General features: G+C 37.6%; 1 long non-coding RNA gene across 2 annotated transcripts in view; it reads left to right on the forward strand.

Annotated features, from left to right (window-relative positions):
* The window catches only part of LOC124902162 (uncharacterized), a 9,370-nt gene extending 1,366 nt beyond the window's left edge, over window positions 1-8,004 (forward strand). The window contains exons 1-3 of one of the 2 annotated variants that reach the window (XR_007061511.1): window positions 175-358; window positions 1,140-1,296; window positions 6,925-8,004. This is a non-coding gene — a long non-coding RNA (uncharacterized LOC124902162). Of the gene's footprint in view, window positions 1-174; window positions 359-1,139; window positions 1,297-6,924 lie in introns of those variants that run through there. The other variant, XR_007061512.1, reaches the window with a different exon arrangement.
* The last annotated feature ends 11,982 nt before the right edge of the window (window positions 8,005-19,986 follow it).

The following is a 19,986-nucleotide window of genomic DNA, read 5'->3' on the forward strand; positions in this document are numbered from 1 at the left end:
TTTTGTTGTTTCTATTTATATTTTATTGTGCTATGTCTTGAAATGTTGTTGTAGCTATTACTTTTGATTAGATATTATTTAGTATTCCTACTTTAAATAAGAGTAGTTTGCACACCACACAGCTATAGTGTTATAATATTCTGTTTTGTTTTGTATCCTATTAGCAGTGAGGATTTTTTTTACCTTTAGGTGATCATTTATTACTCATTAATGTCCTTTTCTTCCTGATTGAAGTACTCCCTTTAGCATTCCTTTAGGACAGGTATGGTATTCATAAAATACTTCAGCTTTTGTTTGTCTGAAAAAGTCAGTATTCTTTTTTTTTGAAGAACATTTTCACTGTATATTCTATTCTAAGGTAAAAGTTTCTTTTCTTTAGTACTTTAAATATTTATTGCTTCTCTCTCCTGGCCAGTAGAGTTTCCACTGTAAAGTCTGCTGCCAGACGTGTTGGAGCTCCCCAGTAGGTTATTTGTTTCTTTTCTCTTTCTTCCTTAAGAACTTTTATCTTTGACCTTTGGAAGACTATTGAATGCTTTGAAGTAGTCTTTTTTGGGTTAAATCTGCTTAATGTTCTATAACATTTTTGTAGTTGGATATGGATGTCTTTCTCTAGGTTTGGAAAGTTCTCTGTTATTATCCCTTTGAATAAATTTTTCTACCACTGCCTCTTTCTCTACATCTTCTTTAAAACCAATAACTCTTAGATCTGTCTTTGTGAGGCTATTTTCTAGATCCTCCCCTGCCTCTTTCTCTACATCATCTTTAAAACAAATAACTCTTAGATCTGTCTTTGTGAGGCTATTTTCTAGATCCTGTCCGCATGATTTGTTGTTTTTATTCTTTTTCTTTTGTCTCTTCTATGTATTTTCAAAGAGCCTGTCTTCAAGCTCACTATTTCTTCTGCTTGATCCATTCTGCTATTACATGGCTGTAATGCATTCTTCAGCATGCCAATTGCATTTTTCAGCTCAGAATTTCTGCTTAATTTACTGTAACTATTTCAATCTCTTTGTTGAGTTTAGCTGATAAAATTTGGAATCTCCTTACTTTGTTATCTTAAATTTCTTTCAGTTTTTTTTTTAATACAGCCATTTTGAATTCTCTGTCTGAAACATCACATATCTCTTTTTCTCCAGGATTTGTCCCCAGTGCCTTATTTAGTTCACTTGGTGAGGTCATGTTTTCCTGGATTGTGTTGACGCTAGTAGATGTTCTTCAGTGTCTGGACATTAAAATCTTGGGCATGCAACACCATATGAGAAGTTTAAAAAATAAAATTTAAAGAGAGAAAAGGTGAGTATTTATTGTAGTCTTCACTGTCTGGGATTATTTGTAGCTGTCTTTCTTGGGAAGGCTTTTCACATATATGAAAAGAGTTGGGTGTTGTGATCTAAGCCATATCTGCTTTATGGAGCACCTTATACCCAATAATGCTGTAATTCTTCCAGACTCAGAGAAGTACCACCTTGACAGCCTTCAACAATATCCAGGAGAATTTTCTGGATTACTAGCCACAGACTCTTTCCCTACCCTTATTTTCCCTCAAAGATACAGAGTCTTTCTCTCTGTTCTAAGCCACCTAAACCTGGGAGAAGAAAGACACAAGCACCTCTGGCCACCACTACTATGACTGCCCTGGATCAGACCTGAAGCTATCACAGCACAGGTCTTGCTCAAGTCCTGCTGCATGCACTTTCTGACGACTCCCTATGTTCACTCAAGGCCTTTGGTCTCTACAATTAGCAGGTGGCAAAGCCAGACAGGCCTGTGTTCTTTCCTTTAGGGCAGTGAGATCCCTCAGTCCCTGGCTGGGTCCAGAAGTGCTATTCAGAAGTCAGGGCTTTGGCCACTTTTTAATAGGGTTTTTTGTTTTTCTCTTATAAATTTAAGTTCCTTATATTGAATATTAGATCTTTGTCAGATACATAGTTTGTAAATATTTTTTCCTCATTCTATATGTTGTCTGTTCACTCTCTTGATAATTTCTTTTGCTGAGCAGAAGCTTTTAAGTTTAATTAGATCCCACTTGTCAATAGTTGTGTTTATTGTTTTTGGTGTCTTTATCATGAAATCTTTGCCTCTTTCTATGTCCAGGATGGTATTGTCTAGGTTGTCTTCCAGAGCTTTTATAGTTTTGGGTTTTACATTTAAGTATTTAATCCATCTTGAGTTGATTTTTGTATATGGTATAAGGAAGAAGTCCAACTTCAATCTTCTGCATATGGCTAGCCAGTTATCCCAGCACCATTTATTGAATAGGGAATCTTTTCCCCATTGATTGTTTTTGCCAGCTTTGTCAAAGTTTACATAGTTGTAGGTATGTGGTCTTACTTCTAACCTCTCTATTCTGTTCCACTGGTGTATGTGTCTGTTTTTGTACTAGTACCATGCTGTTTTGGTTACTGTGGTGCTGCAGGTTAGTTTGAAGTTGGGTAATGTGATGCCTCAAGCTTTGTTCTTTTTGCTTAGGATTGCCTTGGCTACTTAGGTTCTTTCTTGGTTCTATATGAATTTTTAAACAGCTTTTTTCTACTTCTGTGAAGCATGTCATTGGTAGTTTAATAGGAATAGCTTTGGACAGTACAACCATTTAAATGATATTAATTCTTTCTCTCCATTAACATGGAATGATTTTTCATTTATTTGTGTCTTCTCTGACTTCTTTGGGCAGTGTTTTGTAATTTTCATTGTAGAGATTTTTCACCTCCCTGGTTAGCTGTATTCTTATGTACTTTATTCTTTTCGTGGAAATTGTGAATAAAATTGCCTCTCTGATTTGGCTTTTAGTTTGGCTCTTCTTGGTGTATAGGAATGCTAGCAAATTTCGTACATTGATTTTGTGTCCTGAAACTTTGTGGAAGTTGTTTATCAGCTTAAGGAATTTTGGGTCACAACTATAGGGTTTAGATACAGAATTATGTTGTCTTTAAACAGAGGTAGTTGGACTTCTCTTTCTATTTAAATATGCTTTATTTCTTTCTCTTGTCTGATTGCTCCAGAAAGGACTTCTAATACTATGTTGAATAGGAGTGGTGAGAGAGGGCATCCTTGTCTTGTGCGGGTTTCAAGGAGGATGCTTCCAGATTTTGCCCATTTAGTATAATGTTGGCTGTGAGTTTGTCATAGGTGGCCTTTATTATTTTGAGGTATGTTCCTTTGATACCTCGTTTATTGAGAATTTTTAAATGAAGCTTTGTTGAATTTTACTGAAAGTCTTTTCTGCATCTGTTGAGACAATCACGTGGTTCTTATCTTTAGTTTTATTTATGTTATGAATCACATTTTATTGATTTGCCCATGATGGACCACCCTTCCATTCCAGGGAAGAAGCTTATTTCACTATGGTGAATTAGCCTTTTGATGTGTTGCTAGATTCAGTATGCAAGTATTTTGTTGTGGATTATTGAATGGATGTTCATCAAGGATACTGGCCTGAAGTTTTCTTTTTTTGTTTTGTCACTGCCAGGCTTTGGTATCAGGATGATTCTGGCCTCATAGAACAAGTTGGGGAAGAGTCCCTCCTCCTCTATTTCTTGAAATAGTTTCAGTAGGACTGGTACTGGCTCTTCTTTGTACATCTGTTAAAATTTGTTAATCTATCAGGTCCTGGCTTTTTGGGGGGTTGGTAGGCTATTTATTACGGATTCAATTTTTGGAGCTCATAATTGGTCTGCTCAGAGACTGAATTTCTTCCTGGTTCAGTCTTGAGAGAGTATATGTGTCCAGGAATTTATTAATCTCTTCTAGGGTTTCTAGTTTGTGTGTATAGAGGTGCTCGTAGTAGTTACTGGTTGTTATTTTTATTTCTCTGGGGTCAGTGGTAACATTCCCTTCATCATTTCTAATTTTCTTTATTTGAATCTTCTCTCATCTTCTTTATTAATCTAGCTAGTGCCCTATCTTAGTAATTTTTTCAAAAAACCTTGATTAAGTGATCTTTTGAACAGTTTTTCATGTCTCAATTTCTTTCAATTCAGCTCTGATTTTAGTTATTTCTTGTCTTCTACAAGCTTTGTGGTTGAGTTCTCCTTGCTTCTCTAATTCTTTCAGTTGTGATGTTAGGTTGTTAATTTGAGATATTTCTAATTTTTTGATATGGGCATTACTTCTTATGCCCGACTCTAAATTTTGTTCTTCTAGAAAACTCAGAACTATGCTTTCTAAACCAATTCAAACTTTCTCAGTGAATCAACCTGGACTCCCTGAGGCCAAGTTAGCAATTTTCCATTACACGTGGTTCTCTTTCTCTGTAAGAATATCTAATGCAACAATTCAAGTGTTTCTTTCCCTCCTGGTAATGCGGGGAACTCCTTTTGGCTGAGACCAAGACTTAAAACCTTGTTCTTTCAACGTTAATGAAGATCTATTTAGAAAGCCTCCATTTTTGCAGAAAAGATATATAAACACCAATGAAAATCAATATGAAATTATATGACATACAATTATATTGTGGAAAGACTGAATAAATAAGTGAACTAAGCTCTAAGAAAAAAAGATGATGATATAAAATGATATAGAAGTAAAAACCTGGGCTAGTATAGCATAATTAATGTATCAGTAAAGTATGTACATTGTAGAAGTGGCAGGAAGACAGCATAGAGAGTGAGACCTGACCAAAAGCTTTAAGGAAAGTTCTATACCCTTAAACGAGATTAAAGTGGACTCAGGAAAACATGGGCCAAATGAGGGGAAGGACACATGTTCCAGACGAGCCAAAGCTCAGAACATCTCTACCTTCTCCAGGAGGAAAGGGGAGGCAAAGCAGCAGGCAGAAGACAGCACGGCCTCGTCAGCACAGGGCACCCAGGCCAAGCCAGGTGGGCTCCATCATACAGGTAGTGAGGAGTCACTGCCAGGTGGGCTTTATTCATTAGTTTGTTTTGTTTCTTTTAGTAACGAAGACACATGATCAAAGTTGCCCTTTGTAAGTGTTGCTGCAGCTGAACAAAAAGATGGATAAAACCAGTGTTTTAAAAATTATGTTGTATACAGCACTAGCCTCAGTGAGGTATTAGTAGAACACACAGGCACACACACGCACACACACTCACACTAAGCCCAGATTATTCTGGCAAATGCTGGGTTAAGCAAACTAAAAGAAACATCTTTAGTGCTGGACTTCTCAGAACCTGGAATGTGGCTATATGACTCATAAAACAGCAAGGTTAAGACAGAGCATGTCATTTTTTCCCAGAAATGCTGAAACACTTTCCTTCCCTTGGCTTCAGTGTCAACCTTCTTTCTCCTGGTTCTCCATCAACCTCTTTGGCTGATCCTTCTTGATTTCCTTTTTGACAATCTGCTGCTGCTCAGCCATTCTCTTTTCATTCCCCATGGATTTCTCAAGTGCTTTTCTATTCCTGCATTTTAAACTTTCCTTGTTTTTCCTGACACCTCCCCTTGTCTGACCCACCCCTGTTCTAAGGCAGGTGTTCCATCTGTGTGCGTTTTTGGCATCCTGGGATGCTCCCAGCATGTTCCCTGCCACACTCCATCAGGTTTTCTCCGCAGACTCTGTGAGGGCAGCAGACTTGTCTCCATCATTCCTTCAATGCTCAGCACATAACACAGAAGCTGACTCCATAACATTTAGTTGGCCAACTGAGACTAAATATATGTTCCTCTAGATCTTAAAAAGTTACAGAAACATAGCACAATAGACAAAATATTCTCTTTAGTCAGGAGTTCTCTATATATGTACAACAGTTTGAAGTCATTATTAAAGCAAAGTGAAAGAGAAACTGTCACAGAACTCCCTAAGATAAATTATTTTGCTTTAGTCTGCATCATGTGAGATAATCAAGACCATGTGTTATTGTAAATATTTCTAGCTTACAACACAACGACCTGATTTTTATTGTTTGAAATAACCGCAATATAAATCAGTTAATAAAAAATTGCATAAATAATCCTTTCAAATAAAATTCTGCCTAAATTTTACATTACTCATATGTTCAAATGATAATGAGCTCATAGGCTTTTCCAATACCTCAGTCAAAACACTACTGATTCCAGCTGTGGGAATAGCATCTGAAAGTTATTTTACAGATGGGGAAAAGGTACTTACGTGACATTGGCCTTTGCACTACTGTGCCCTTTTAAGTCAGGAAAAAGCTGTTCCCTTAAAATCCTAAAATATCTTCTGTCAGGTCTGAAGGGTGGGTGGGAAACACAGTTTTACAAATTTTAGCCACAGATGTTTTATTCCTTGCTTAAAGCAGTGACTAGATAAAGGCCACTAGAAGAGTCTCCAATGTTTCTTTAGAAGCGTGTGCCTGAGAACATCTTCCAGAAACACTCCCTTGTCTCTGCCCAAAATCACCTTAGGTAGGGAAATCGAAACTCAGCAGCCTGAGGGGATCCAAGGGGATCACTGAGCTCTGAGTCTTATGAGAGAAGAGAGAGAGGTCTAAGACTTTTTGTGTATAAATTTATGGGTTCCAAGTGTAATTTTGCTGTAAGCATGGATGGCATAGTGGTGAAGTCAGGGCTTTTAGGTATCCATCACCAGAATAATGCACACTGTACCCATTAAGTAATTTCTCACTGTTCACCCCTTCCATCCCCTCACCCTGCTGAGTCTCCATTATCATTCCACTCTCTACATCAATATCTACACATCTTTTAGCACCCGCTTATGAGTGATAAAATACGATGTTTACTCTGTGTCTGGCTTGCTTCACTTACAACCATGGCCTCCAGTTCCATCCATGTGTCTGCAAAAGTTATGATTCTATTGTTTCTTATGCCTGAATAGTATTTCATTGTGTATATTTTCTACATTTTCTTTCTCCAATCATTTGTTGATGGGTATTTAGTTTCATTTTATGTCTGTGCTACTGTGAATAGTGTTGCAACAAATACACAAGTACAGTTATCTTTCTGATACATTGATTTCTTTTCCTTTGCATAAATACTCAGTGGTGGGATTGCTGAATCAGACAGAGCCAATAGATGATCAGTAATGGTGGCCAATCATCAGCTAGAAAGAAAGTGCTTAGCAGGGCTTGAAATCACCAAAACTCTGAGACCACTGACCTTCAAAAACTTCAACAGCCCTGAGTGAAAAGTCCAAACACATTTATCTACTATTCGAAGACGCTTTATTGTCTGTCCTCTGTGCATCTCAGTAGTCTCTTTTTACCACACTGTCTATATACTGCATGAGCCATTTATATGAAACTATCTGACACTCCAAGGCATCTTATACTATATATTCAACCATCTATCCCTAGTACCTAGCACAGTCCTGGCATATAGTTTGCTACTAAACTTTTACAGAATGAAGGAATTATCTTGTATCCAGGTTCCAAGTTTTAAGGTGATTCTTCACTAAAAAAAAAGTATTACAGTTCACAAATAATCTACTTCCCTTTTTACAAATGGGATCAATTTTAATCTTATCTCCTAATAACATTACTTTCATTTACTCTGATCTAAATATACTGTCCTAAGAGAGCAATAAGAAAGAGAGTTGAAGCTGGAGTTTGAAGAATTGTACATGGTCCTGTGATACCCTACCTTGTTTTAACCTGAGTGACTCTCTCCTAGCGGAGAGAGAGCCGGACAGACTCCATTTTAGTTTCTTCACGTGCAGCCCCCTTTACCTCCCACCCTTAATTGCATAACTAGTGTAAACTGACTCAAAGCAGGTCCAGGAATGCACTTACTGATAAGATATTGAGGCAAGCTGCACCAGCTGCTCCTGGGTACGCAATCGGTGAATGTCATGCAAAACCCCTGCATTTCTCTCTTTGTGATAGTTTAAGCCCCTGCACCTGGAACTGTTTATTTGTTTTGTAACTGCTATTGTAACCAATTAATTTTTTAACTATTTGCCAGCTCTGCTTCTGTAAAACTTGTTTCAGCTAAACTCCCCCTTCCCCTATTTAGACCACGGTATAAAAACAAAACCAACCCCTTCCTCGGGGCTAAGAGAATTTTGAGCATTACATGCCTCTCGGTTGCCGGCTAATAAAGGACTCCTTAATTTGTCTCAAAGTGTGGCGTTCCTCTATAACTCGCTTGGTTACAACAGTCCACACTGTGGCCTGAGGTGCATCGCCCACCTGAGCTTCATCTGTTATGTATGTCAGGGAATATAAGCAGGGTGAGAGTGGCCTCATCAGAGGACCCCAGATCTCTGGCTTACCCATCTGGCAAGTGCACCTCTGTGAGCAAAGACTTCAGAGCCAGATGACAAGAACGGCCCAAGCAGTCCACCAGGGAAACCTGGGCCCAGTGTACGTCAATGCAGAGCATCAAGCATGGTGTAACAGGTGCACAGTTGCCTACTGCTGTTCAGAGATGACTGCATCCCACATACTGTAAAATGAGGAAATGCAGAGAAGCAGATGTAACTGAAGAAGACAGCAGAAGCAACAAGGAGGGACAATCAGGACCTAGGAGGGCACCATGCCAGAGACGCCTGGACCCCACGCTAGGCTCAGTGCCTGTTATACTCTTGGGAGCCAGCACTTTCCCTCTCCATCACATGACATACTTGCCATTATTTGTTGTGTAAAATATTGTCCTTAGTTTACACCTTTCCTAGGAGACACAGGCAGAGCCTGTGACACTACAGCTTCTGGCACACAGTAGGTAGGTGCATCACAAACATCTGTTGAGTTCACACACTCTTGCCTTCTCAAACCTTCTTGTCAAGTCTTCAGTGAAACGGAATTGCTGATTGAGCAAGAATTAAACTTCTAGAGACTCCTGGATCCACTGAAGTTTGAGACAAGGCGAGATTTGTTTACTGTCATATTCCTAGCTCATAACATATTGTAGTCACTTAAAAAAGTTTGTTGAATAAGTGAGTAAATTGATTCATATGTCATACTTAGCTATATATTTTCTGAGTAAAATTGATAAAGTTAATAATTTAAATCTAGTATAATTTTGCTTTACTCATTCAACGAACCTGACAATTCAACTAGGTGCCAGGCACACTGCTGCTGAAGAAAAAGAGGTATAAGATATAATTTCTGTCTACAAGAAAGCCACAGTCTAAAAAGTAGAAACATATGAACAAATCGTAACAATAAATAGGCTAAATTCAAAATCATAGGAGTTTGTTTCTATTTTAAACAGCTCTAGTCAGGAAGTGTTAGAGAGTTCTAAACAGGAAATGTTCCAACACATCATCTAAGCATGAAGCTGGAGACACCCATAATTGAGTTTGCTGCCACCAACCCCAACAGCAAGAATTCCAGTCCTGCTGCTGCAAAGTAAGTGTCACTCTGATTTTATTGCTGCTGTGTAACCCAGTTTTAGACTCTCTGGTTCTCACTTAATGTTCTAAAAAAGTATTAAAGAGAAAATTTTATTCTGGTGATGAGCCCATCCACTGCAGCCATCTCAACATCATGCCAATTATAAGCCTATCATTTAAAAAGAAAGCAGTTAGTTTAACTTATTTATCCAAATATCAGTATTACATAAACATATTTGTCATCAGACTTTGGACTTATGGGTTAAATAGCATATAAATATGATTAGAGCCTTAAAGTTTACACTTCTCTGGTTCGCTCAAATTTTTTTCAAAATAGCATATGCCTTTCTAAACAATGGTTAGTATATTTTTTAAAATGAACATTAAAATGTATATTTTCCAAAAACAAAATACAGCTCCCATTGGTAAATGATGCTATTGAGACACAACAGACAACTTCTCTTGGGAACCATTTAATCAGTGCTCACTTTCGCACTCTTTCCAGAAATGTCAATGGCTTTGAAATATAGAAGTATATTATACAAATAAACTTATACTTATTCAGTATTGTGCAATATTTAGTACTTGTTCTAGCCATCTCTTGCTGAATAGTAAGCCATTCCAAAACTTAAGGAATTATTTATTGTTTAATATTGTTTATTGTTATTATTTGTTTAGTAATTTTAATAACGTTATTTCTCATGGTTTTGTGGGTTGATGGGCACTACATAAGTTGTCTTTTGGAGTCTTTCTTGCAGTTGCAGTTGGTTGGCTGCTGCTGAAGTCACCTGAAAGCTCAATTAGGCTAAAGAGTCTAGACGGGTCACTTACATGGCTGGCAGTGCATATTGGCTGCTGAGTGTGATGCCTATCTGACCTCTCCATGTTACCTGGAGTGCTCACAACGTGGTAGTTTGTCCCAAGACACACAGGCAAATACTACAAAGCTTCTTAGGACCTAGCCTTGGAGGTCCTAGAATACAACTTCTGCTCCATCCTATTGGAAAAGCAAGTCATTGTGACCAACACAGATTCAAGAAATGGGAGATTCGACTCTACCTGTCAATGTAAACAGCAGCATGTGCATGCAGGGAGGAAAGAAATTGAGGGCATCATCTTGAAGACTATCATATCACAACATTATTCCAACTAATGAACATTATGTTTTAGATGGGTAGTACTAGCTACTCATCTGTCCCCCAGAAACCCAAGCTAAGCATGGACATATTGAAGAGAATGTCAGCACCATTAAAAAAAACTCTAGAAAAATCACATGTGATGACTGAGGTTAATTCAGTCTGTCAATTACATCAATATAATTGCCTTCTTGTAACCCTAAGTATAGTGAAGCAGAATTGAATTCTACAAAAGTCTTTCATCTGTTTTCCTATGGAATAATTAACAAACCCAATAAATGTATAAATAGCATCAAGTCCCACTTATTTTAGATTTTTACCTCATAATTTCAAAGCTTATAGAAATCCAGAGAACTAATCATCATAATCCATAATGCCTGGACCAGAAGTCCTTGTTCTAAGAGTATCTTGTGGCGTGCTAAAAATGTATTACTAACTAGGAAATTTAAAACTTTTTTGTTAGTGGTTTTAAGAGAGCTGACTAGCTCATCACCACAATTCACACAGATTAAGAAAGGAGGTTACTCTGTGGAGTGGATTCATAGTGATCAGAAAAAAAAATCACAAAAGAGGAAAGGAGATAGGGAAGGGGAAAGATACTGTCAATCTCTACAATTAAAGTGATTTTTCCAATGGTTTGATTTTGTATTTGCAAAGGAAAGGCAGCTTAATGTGATAGAATAAGAATCCCACTTCTGTATCTTTTTTTTTTTTTTTTTTGAGACGGAGTCTCGCTCTGTCGCCCAGGCTGGAGTGCAGTGGTGCGATCTTGGCTCACTGCAAGCTCTGCCTCCCGGGTTGACGCCATTCTCCTGCCTCAGCCTCCCTAGTAGCTGGGACTACAGGCGCCCACCACCACGCCCGGCTAATTTTTTGTATTTTTTGTAGAGACAGGGTTTCACCGTGTTAGCCAGGATGGTCTCGATCTCCTGACCCTGTGATCCCCCCATCCTGGCCTCCCAAAGTGCTGGGATTACAGGCATGAGCCACTGTACCTGGCTCGTCTTCTTTTGAGAAGTGTCTGCTTATGTCCCTTGTCAATGTTTTAATGGGGTTGTTTTCCTAATGTCCAACATCACTAATCATCAGAGAAATGCAAGTCAATGTGAGATACCATCTCATATTAGTCAGAATGGCTACTATTAAAAAGTAAAAACATGACAAATTCTGGTTAGACTTCAGAGAAAATGAAATGCTTATACACTGTTGGTGAGAATGTAAATTAGTTCAGCCACTGTGAAAAGCACTTTGGAGATTTTTCAAAGAATTTAAAACAGAAGTGCCATTCAACCAGCAATTCCATTACTGAGTATATATCCAAAAGAAAATTAAGAATTCTACAAAAAGAAACCCGACATGCACTTGTATATGTGTCATATTGCTATTCACAATAGGGAAGGCATGGAATTAACTTATGTGTGAATCAATAAATTGGATAGAAATATGTGCCACATATACACCATAAAACACTATGCACACGTTAAAAAGAATACAATTATGTCCTGTGCAGTAACATGCATATGTCTGGAGGCCATTATCATAAGGAAATTAATACAGGAACAGAAAACCAAATACCATATGTTCTTGCCTATAAGTAGGATCTAAACATGGGGTACTCATGAATATAAAGATGACAACAATAGACACTGAGAACTACCAGATGAATGAGGGAAGGAGGAGGGCAGGAGGTGAAAAACCATAGGTGCTATGCTTACTGCATAGGTGATGGGATCAATTATACCCCACAACATATGCTCACTACCTTGGTGATGGGATCAATAATATCCCACATTGCTCAGCATCACACAATATATCCATGTAATAAACCTGCAGATATACTCCCTGAATCTAAAAAAATTAAGGCAGAGATAGAGTAAGAGGGCAGAATAGAAGCCTACATTCTCATCCACCACACAAAAACACCACATTTTCACAACTAACTACTTTCAAGAAGCACTGTCAAAGGGACCAAAAATTGGGTGAGCAATCAGAGTACCTGGTATTAACTTCATATCACTGAAACAGACATTGGAGAAGACAAAAAAATAAAAGACAGTCTAGAAGCACGGATGCCACCTCTTTTTCAACCACCACTAGTGGCTACATCGTGCAGAGATAGTATGTTTGGGAGAGGGAGCGCATAGTTTGTGAAGCTTTGCAATAAACTCAGTACTACCCTGTCACAGTGAAAAGCAGAACCAGACTGTACTCAGCTGACATCTGCCAATGGAAGGAGCATGTGTATTGGCCCTAGAAAGAGGAAAACCTCCTATCCTAGTGTTGGGAGCTTGAGTTTTTACAAGTCTTGCCATCATGAGTTGACGTGCTATTGGACTCTAAGAGAACTTAAGGGGCAGTCTAGGCCACAAGGACTTCAATTATTAGGCAAGTCGTATTCCGAGCTGGGCTCAGAGCCAGTGGAATGTGGAGGGTGGGGAGTATGGGGTCTACTGAGACAGCAGCCAGAGCAGCTAAGGGAGTGCTCACAACACCACTCCCCCACCCCCCACCTAGCAGCAGCCACACAACACACAGAAACCTGTGAATTTGGGAGAGGGAGAGCACAGTGACTGGAGGACTTTACATCAAACTCAGTGCTGCCATGTCAGTAAAGACCTGGCAGAATTCATCACCTGCTGACTAAAGAACCCCTGTACCCAGAATAAAAAACAGTGACAACCAGGTAATATGCCATGGGCATTGGGCTCTGAGAAGTGCTAAGTTCAGGTGTGACCCAGTACATTTCTAGCTGTGGTAGCTATGGTGAAAGACTTCTGCTTGAGAAAGGCATGGGGGAAAGTAAAGGGAACTCTACATTGCACCTGGTATACCAGCTCAACCACAGTGGGGTAGATCACCAAGCAGATTCTTAGAGTCCCTGAGTCCAGGCCTAGGGTCTTCTTGGTCAGCATTTCTGCACTTGCCCTGGGCCAAAGGTCGAGTCCCAGGCATTGCAGAATTTATCACAAGCTAACTAAAGAGTCCTTGGGCTTTAAGTGAGAAAGTGATGATGATTTGGTGGAAACCCCCCATGGGCCAGTAGTGTTGGCAGTCATAGAAGAAGCTCTTCTGCCTGCAGAGAGGGGAAAGAAGAGTAGAAAATACTTTGTCTTATTCCCTAAGTGCCAGGTTAGCTACAATAAAATAGAAGAGCAGCTAAATTTTGAAGATTCTATGCTTTAGTCTCTGGCTCCCAGGTAGCATCTGTGGACCCACTCATGGCTAGGGGAACTTGCAACCCTATAGGCAGAGACACAAACCTGGCTGGCATTGCCAACTATTAATCACAGAGTCCTAGGGCTTTGAATAAACTTATATGGTAGCCAAGTAGTGGTTGCAGTGGGCCTTGTGTGAGACCAAGTTCTGTGCCTACTTCAGGTGTGAACCAGCACAGTCTCAGTGGTGGCTGCCACAGGAGATCTTCTGTTACCCCAACCCCAGCTCCACATGTCTCAGCACAGAAAGAGAGACTGCTGATTTGAGAGAAAGTAAGGGAAGAGAACAAGTTTCTCTACTTGATAAATCAAGAGAATTTTTCTTGATGTTAATCCAAGGCCACCAAGGCAGTACCTCTACGTGTTTGCATAAACTACTGTGCTATTGGGTTTGGGACCCAAGTTTCTTTGAATACCTGGAAAGTGTTCCCGAAGATAATGGGCACTAACAAGCCCAGACTGTGAAGACTACAATAAAGACTGAATTCTTCAATGCCCAGATACAGATGAATATCTACAAGTATCAAGGCCATCCAGGAAAACATGACCTCACCAAACAAGCTAAATAAAGTACCAGGGACAAATCCTGGAAAAACAAAGATATGTGACCTTTCATACAGGAAATCCAAAATAACTGGTTGAGGTAATTCAAAGAAATGTACAATATAACACAGAGAAGGAATTCAAAATTCTATCAGATAAATTTAACAATGAGATTGAAATAAAAAGAATAAAGTAGAAATTCTGAGGTTAAAATGCTATTGTCATACTGAAAAATGGATCAGAATTACTTAAAAGAATTGACCAAGGAGAAGATAGATTTAGTGAACTTGAAGCCAGACTATTTAAAAATACAAAGTCAGAGGAGACAAAAAGGAATAAAAAATAAAGCATGCCTATAGAATTTTAAAAAATAGCCTCAAAATAGCAAATCTAAGAGTTACTGGCCTTAAAGAGGAGGTAGAAAAAGAGATGAGTTGAATATTTATTTAAATAAATAATATTAAATCATATTAAACAATTCCTCAACATTTGATATCAACATTCGAGTAACAGAAAGTTACAGAACATAAAGCAGATTTAACCCAAAGAAGACCACCTCAAGGCACTAAACTGAACTCCCAAAGGTTAAGGATAAAGAAATGATTCTAAAAGCATCGAGAGAAGAGAAACAAATAACATTCAGCGTAACTCCAATACATCTGACAGCAGACTTTTCAAGGGAAAATTTACAGGCTGGAGATTGACATGACATATTAAAAAACTGAAGGAAAAAAAGACTTTTACTTTAGAATAATGTATCTGGCAAAAACGTCCTTTAAACTTGACGGAAAAATAAGAACTTTTTCCAACAAACAAAAACTGAGGGATTTCATTAACACCAGACCTGTCCTACAAGAAATGCTAAAGGGATATCTTAACCTAAAAGAAAACAAGTTAGTGAGCAATAAGAAATCATCTGAAGGTACACAACTCACTAGCAATAGCACATGGAAAAACACTGAATATTATAATATGGTAATTATGGGGTGCAAAAATCTCAAATAGAAAGAGTAACCAATAAACCAATAAAAATAATACCTACAACGTATTTATTTCCAATACATAGACTGTAAAATAGGGAATGAAGAGAAACAACAAAAAGTTGAAAAGAATGGCAGTATAGAGTTTTTATTAGTTGTTTTGCTTGTTTCTTTTTTTAATTATACTTTAAGTTATAGAGTACATGTGCACAACGTGCAGGTTTGTTACATATGTATACACGTGACATGTTGGTGTGCTGCACCCATTAACTCGTCATTTAGCATCAGGTATATCTCCTAATGCTATCCCTCCCCCATCCCCCTACCCCTCAACCGTCCCTGGTGTGTGATGTTCCCCTTCCTGTGTCCACGTGTTCTCATTGTTCAATTCCCACCTATAAGTGAGAACATGCGGGTGTTTGGTTTTTTATCTTTGTGATAGTTTGCTGAGAATGATGGTTTCCAGCTTCCTCCATGTCCCTGCAAAGGACATGAACTCATCATTTTTTATGGCAGCATAGTATTCCATGGTGTATATGTGCCACATTTTCTTAATCCAGTCTATCATTGTCGGACATTTGTGTTGGTTCCCAGTCTTTGCTATTGTGAATAGTGCTGCAATAAACATACGAAACATACGTGTGCATGTGTCTTTATAGCAGCATGATTTATAGTCCTTTGGGTATATACCCAGTAATGGGATGGCTGGATCAAACGGTATTTCTAGTTCTAGATCCCTGAGGAATCGCCACACTGACTTCCACAATGGTTGAACTAGTTTACAGTCCTACCAACAGTGTAAAAGTGTTCCTATTTCTCCACATCCTCTCCAGCACCTGTTGTTTCCTGACTTTTTAGTGATCGTCATTCTAACTGGTATGAGATGGTATCTCATTGTGGCTTTGATTTGCATTTCTCTGATGGCCAGTGATGATGAACATTTTTTCATGTGTCTTGGCTGCATAAATGTCTTCTTTTGAGAAGTGTCTGTTCATATCCTTCACCCACTTTTTGATGGGGTTGTTTGGGTTTTTCTTGCAAATTTGTTTGGGTTCATTGTAGATTCTGGATATTAGCCCTTTGTCAGATGAGTAGATTGGAAAATTTTTCCCCCATTCTGTAGGTTGCCTATTCACTCTGATGGTAGTTTCTTTTGCTGTGCAGAAGCTCTTTAGTTTAATTAGATTCCATTTGTCAATTTTGGCTTTTGTTGCCATTGCTTTTGGTGTTTTAGACACGAAGTCCTTGCTGATGCCTATGTCCTGAATGGTATTGCCTAGGTTTTCTTCTAGGGTTTTTATGGTTTTAGATCTAACGTTTAAGTCTTTAATCCATCTTGAATTAATTTGTGTATAAGGTGTAAGGAAGTGATCCAGTTTCAGCTTTCTACATATGGCTAGCCAGTTTTCCCAGCATCATTTATTATGTAGGGAATCTTTTCCCCATTGCTTGTTTTTCTCAGGTTTGTCAAAGATCAGATAGTTGTAGATATGCAGCATTATTTCTGAGGGCTCTGTTCTGTTCCATTGGTCTATATCTCTGTTTTGGTACAAGTAACATGATGTTTTGGTTACTGTAGCCTTGTAGTATAGTTTGAAGTCTGGTAGCGTGATGCCTCCAGCTTTGTTCTTTTGGCTTAGGATTGACTTGGCGATGTGGGCCCTTTTTTGTTCCATATGAACTTTAAAGTAGTTTTTTTCCAATTCTGTGAAGAAAGTCATTGGTAGCTTGATGGGGATGACATTGAATCTATCAATTACCTTGGGCAGTATGGCCATTTTCATGATATTGATTCTTCCTACCCATGAGCATGGAATGTTCTTCCATTTGTTTGTATCCTCTTTTATTTCATTGAGCAGTGATTTGTAGTTCTCCTTGAAGAGCTCCTTCACATCCCTTGTAAGTTGGATTCCTAGGTATTTTATTCTCTCTGAAGCAATTGTGAATGGGAATTCACTCATGATTTGGCTCTCTGTGTGCCTGTTGTTGGTGTACAAGAATGCTTGTGATTTTTGTATATTGATTTTGTATCCTGAGACATTGCTGAAGTTGCTTATCAGCTTAAGGAGATTTTGGGCTGAGACGATGGGGTTTTCTAGATATACAATCATGTCATCTGCAAATAGGGACAATTTGACTTCCTCTTTCCCTAACTGAATACCCTTTATTATGACCACTATGAAGGAGTTTATGACCGCTAGGTTTGTTCTTCAAGAAATGCTAGAAAGTCCTTTGAGATTAAAAAATGAGAGTACCAAAAAAGCCATAGAATACTATAAAGCTCTGTTGTAAAGCAAATATATAGAGAAATATAGCATCCTGTATTATTGTGATGTTGGTAAGTAATTTCAATCCCCTTATAGTATTTGACACCAATATACAAAAATATTTTATATGTATGTTAAAGAATACATCATGTAAAAAGGCCTAATTTGTGACATCAAGAACAACATGAGTGTTGGGAAAGACAGTCATGTAAAAGACTGGAGTTTTTATATGCTACTGAGATAACATCAGATTAAACTAGATTGTTATAACTTTGAGATGTTTCATGTCACCTGTATAGTAATCACAAAGATAATACATGTAGAATGTATACAAAAGAAAAAGAAATAAAAACATATTAGCACAAAAATTAATTAGACAAAAAGGAATACAGCAAGAAATAAAATAAATAAACAAAAGAACTACAAAAGAAACACAAAACAATTAACAAAATGGCAGTAGTAACTCCTTAACTGCAAATAATAACCTTATATGTAACAATGTTAAATTCTCCAATAACAGACAGAAGGTCACTGAAGAAATAAAAATATAAAATCGAATGAATTCTGTTTATAAATTGTTTATAAAAATAAAAATATAAAATCAAATAAATTATGTTTATTTAAGGATAAACATGGAATGAAAGTGCAGGGATGGAAAATTATATTCTATATGGTAACCAAATCATCCTAAATAGCAACCAAAATAGAACAAAGTGGGTCACATTTACATTAGATGATTAGACTTTAAGCAAAAAACTGTCATAAAGACAAACAAGGACATTATATAATAAAAATAAATCTCCAAGAAGATATCATAATTAAAATATGCACATGAATCAGCAACTATTCCAAACACATAACACAAATAATGACAGAATTAAAAGGAGAAATAGGCTGAGTACAGTGGCTCACGCCTGCTTGTAATCCCTGCATCTTGGCGGGGGCAGAGGCAGGAGGATGGCTTGAGCCCAGGAGTAGAGACTAACCTGGGCAAGATAGCAACACTTCGTCTGTGTAAGAAACAAAATTATAAATAAAAATAAAGGGAGGAATAGAGACCACCACCAAAATGATAGGAGACTTTAATAATGGAGAGGACAACCTGGGAGACCAAATGAAGACAGAGGATTGAGCAAGGAGTGATTCAACCAAATCCAACAGACTTTTAGAAACGGTCTTCTCAACAAGAGAATGCGCATGATTCTGGTGTGCACATGGAACATTCTTGAGACTATATCACAAATCGGACCACAAAGAAATCAATTCAAGAAAATTAAAATCATACGAAGTATCATTTACAACTAAAATGGAATGGAACTAGAAGTGAATACCAGAAGAAAAATTTAAAAATTTGCAAATACATAAAAATCAAGTAACATGCTCCTAAACAACATTATGGGTTAAAGAAGAAATCACAGTGAAAATTTCAACATAACTGGAGACAAAGCATAACAAAATTATTGAATGCATCTAAAGCTTGTATTCAATTGTAGTAGTAAATGTGTACATTTAACAAATCTATCTAAATCAACTAGTAAATGTAATCAAACATCAGTAAAGAATAAGAATTTCAGCAGTTATAAATAAATAACAATTAAAAGCCATAGAAAAATCAATTAAAGTTTGGTTTTATTGAAAAGATTAAGAAAACTGACAAACAGATTAAAAGAAAAAAGAAGATACCTCAAATAATTAAATTCATAAATAAAAGAGGAGCTATTACTACTGATGCCACAAAAGTAGGAAAAGAAGAGATTATAAAAGTTTAATTCCAAGTATATGCCAAAAAATGTGATAAGCTAAGAGAAATAGACAAATGTCTAGAAATACAGATTATACTAAAAATAAACCATAAAAAAATCTGAATAGGCATATAAGTAGTAACAACAACCTCCCCTCAAAAAGCCCAGGCCCGGATCACTTCATTAAATACATATTTTTTTCAAAATGTTAAAGCAGGGTTAACACCAACCCTTCTTAAACTACTTCAGAAAAATGAAAAAGATAAAACAATTTCCAACTTATTTTATGAGCCCAGCATTAACACAACACCAAACCCCACAAAGACACTAAGGAGAAAAAAAAATACAACTACAAATCAATTTTCCTGTTGACTATTGATGTAAAAATTCTCCTCGGAACATTAGAACACCAAATTCAATAACACATTGCAAGGATTATACACCATGATGAAGAAGGAGTTATCTCTCCAATGAAAGTATTGTTCAACACGTGTAAATCAATCTATTTGTTTTTTATTTTTTTATTATACTTTAAGTTCTAGGGTACATGTGGACAACATGCAGGTTTGTTACATAGGTTTACATGTGCCATGTTGTTTTGCTGCACCCATCAACTCATCATTTACATTAGATATTTCTCCTACTGCTATCTCTCCTCTAGCCCTCCAGCCCCTGACAGGCCCCATTGTGTGATGTTACCTGCCTTGTGTCCAAGTGTTCTCACTGGTAAATTCCCACCTATGAGTGAGAACATGTGGTGTTTGGTTATCTGTCCTTGTGATAGTTTGCTGAAAATGATGGTTTCTGGCTTCATCCAAGTCCCCGCAAAGGACAAAAACTCATCTGTTTTTATGGCTGTGTACTATTCCATGGTGTATACGTGCTG

This window comes from Homo sapiens, chromosome 9, assembly GCF_000001405.40.
Source record: "Homo sapiens chromosome 9, GRCh38.p14 Primary Assembly".
NCBI lineage: Eukaryota > Metazoa > Chordata > Mammalia > Primates > Hominidae > Homo > Homo sapiens.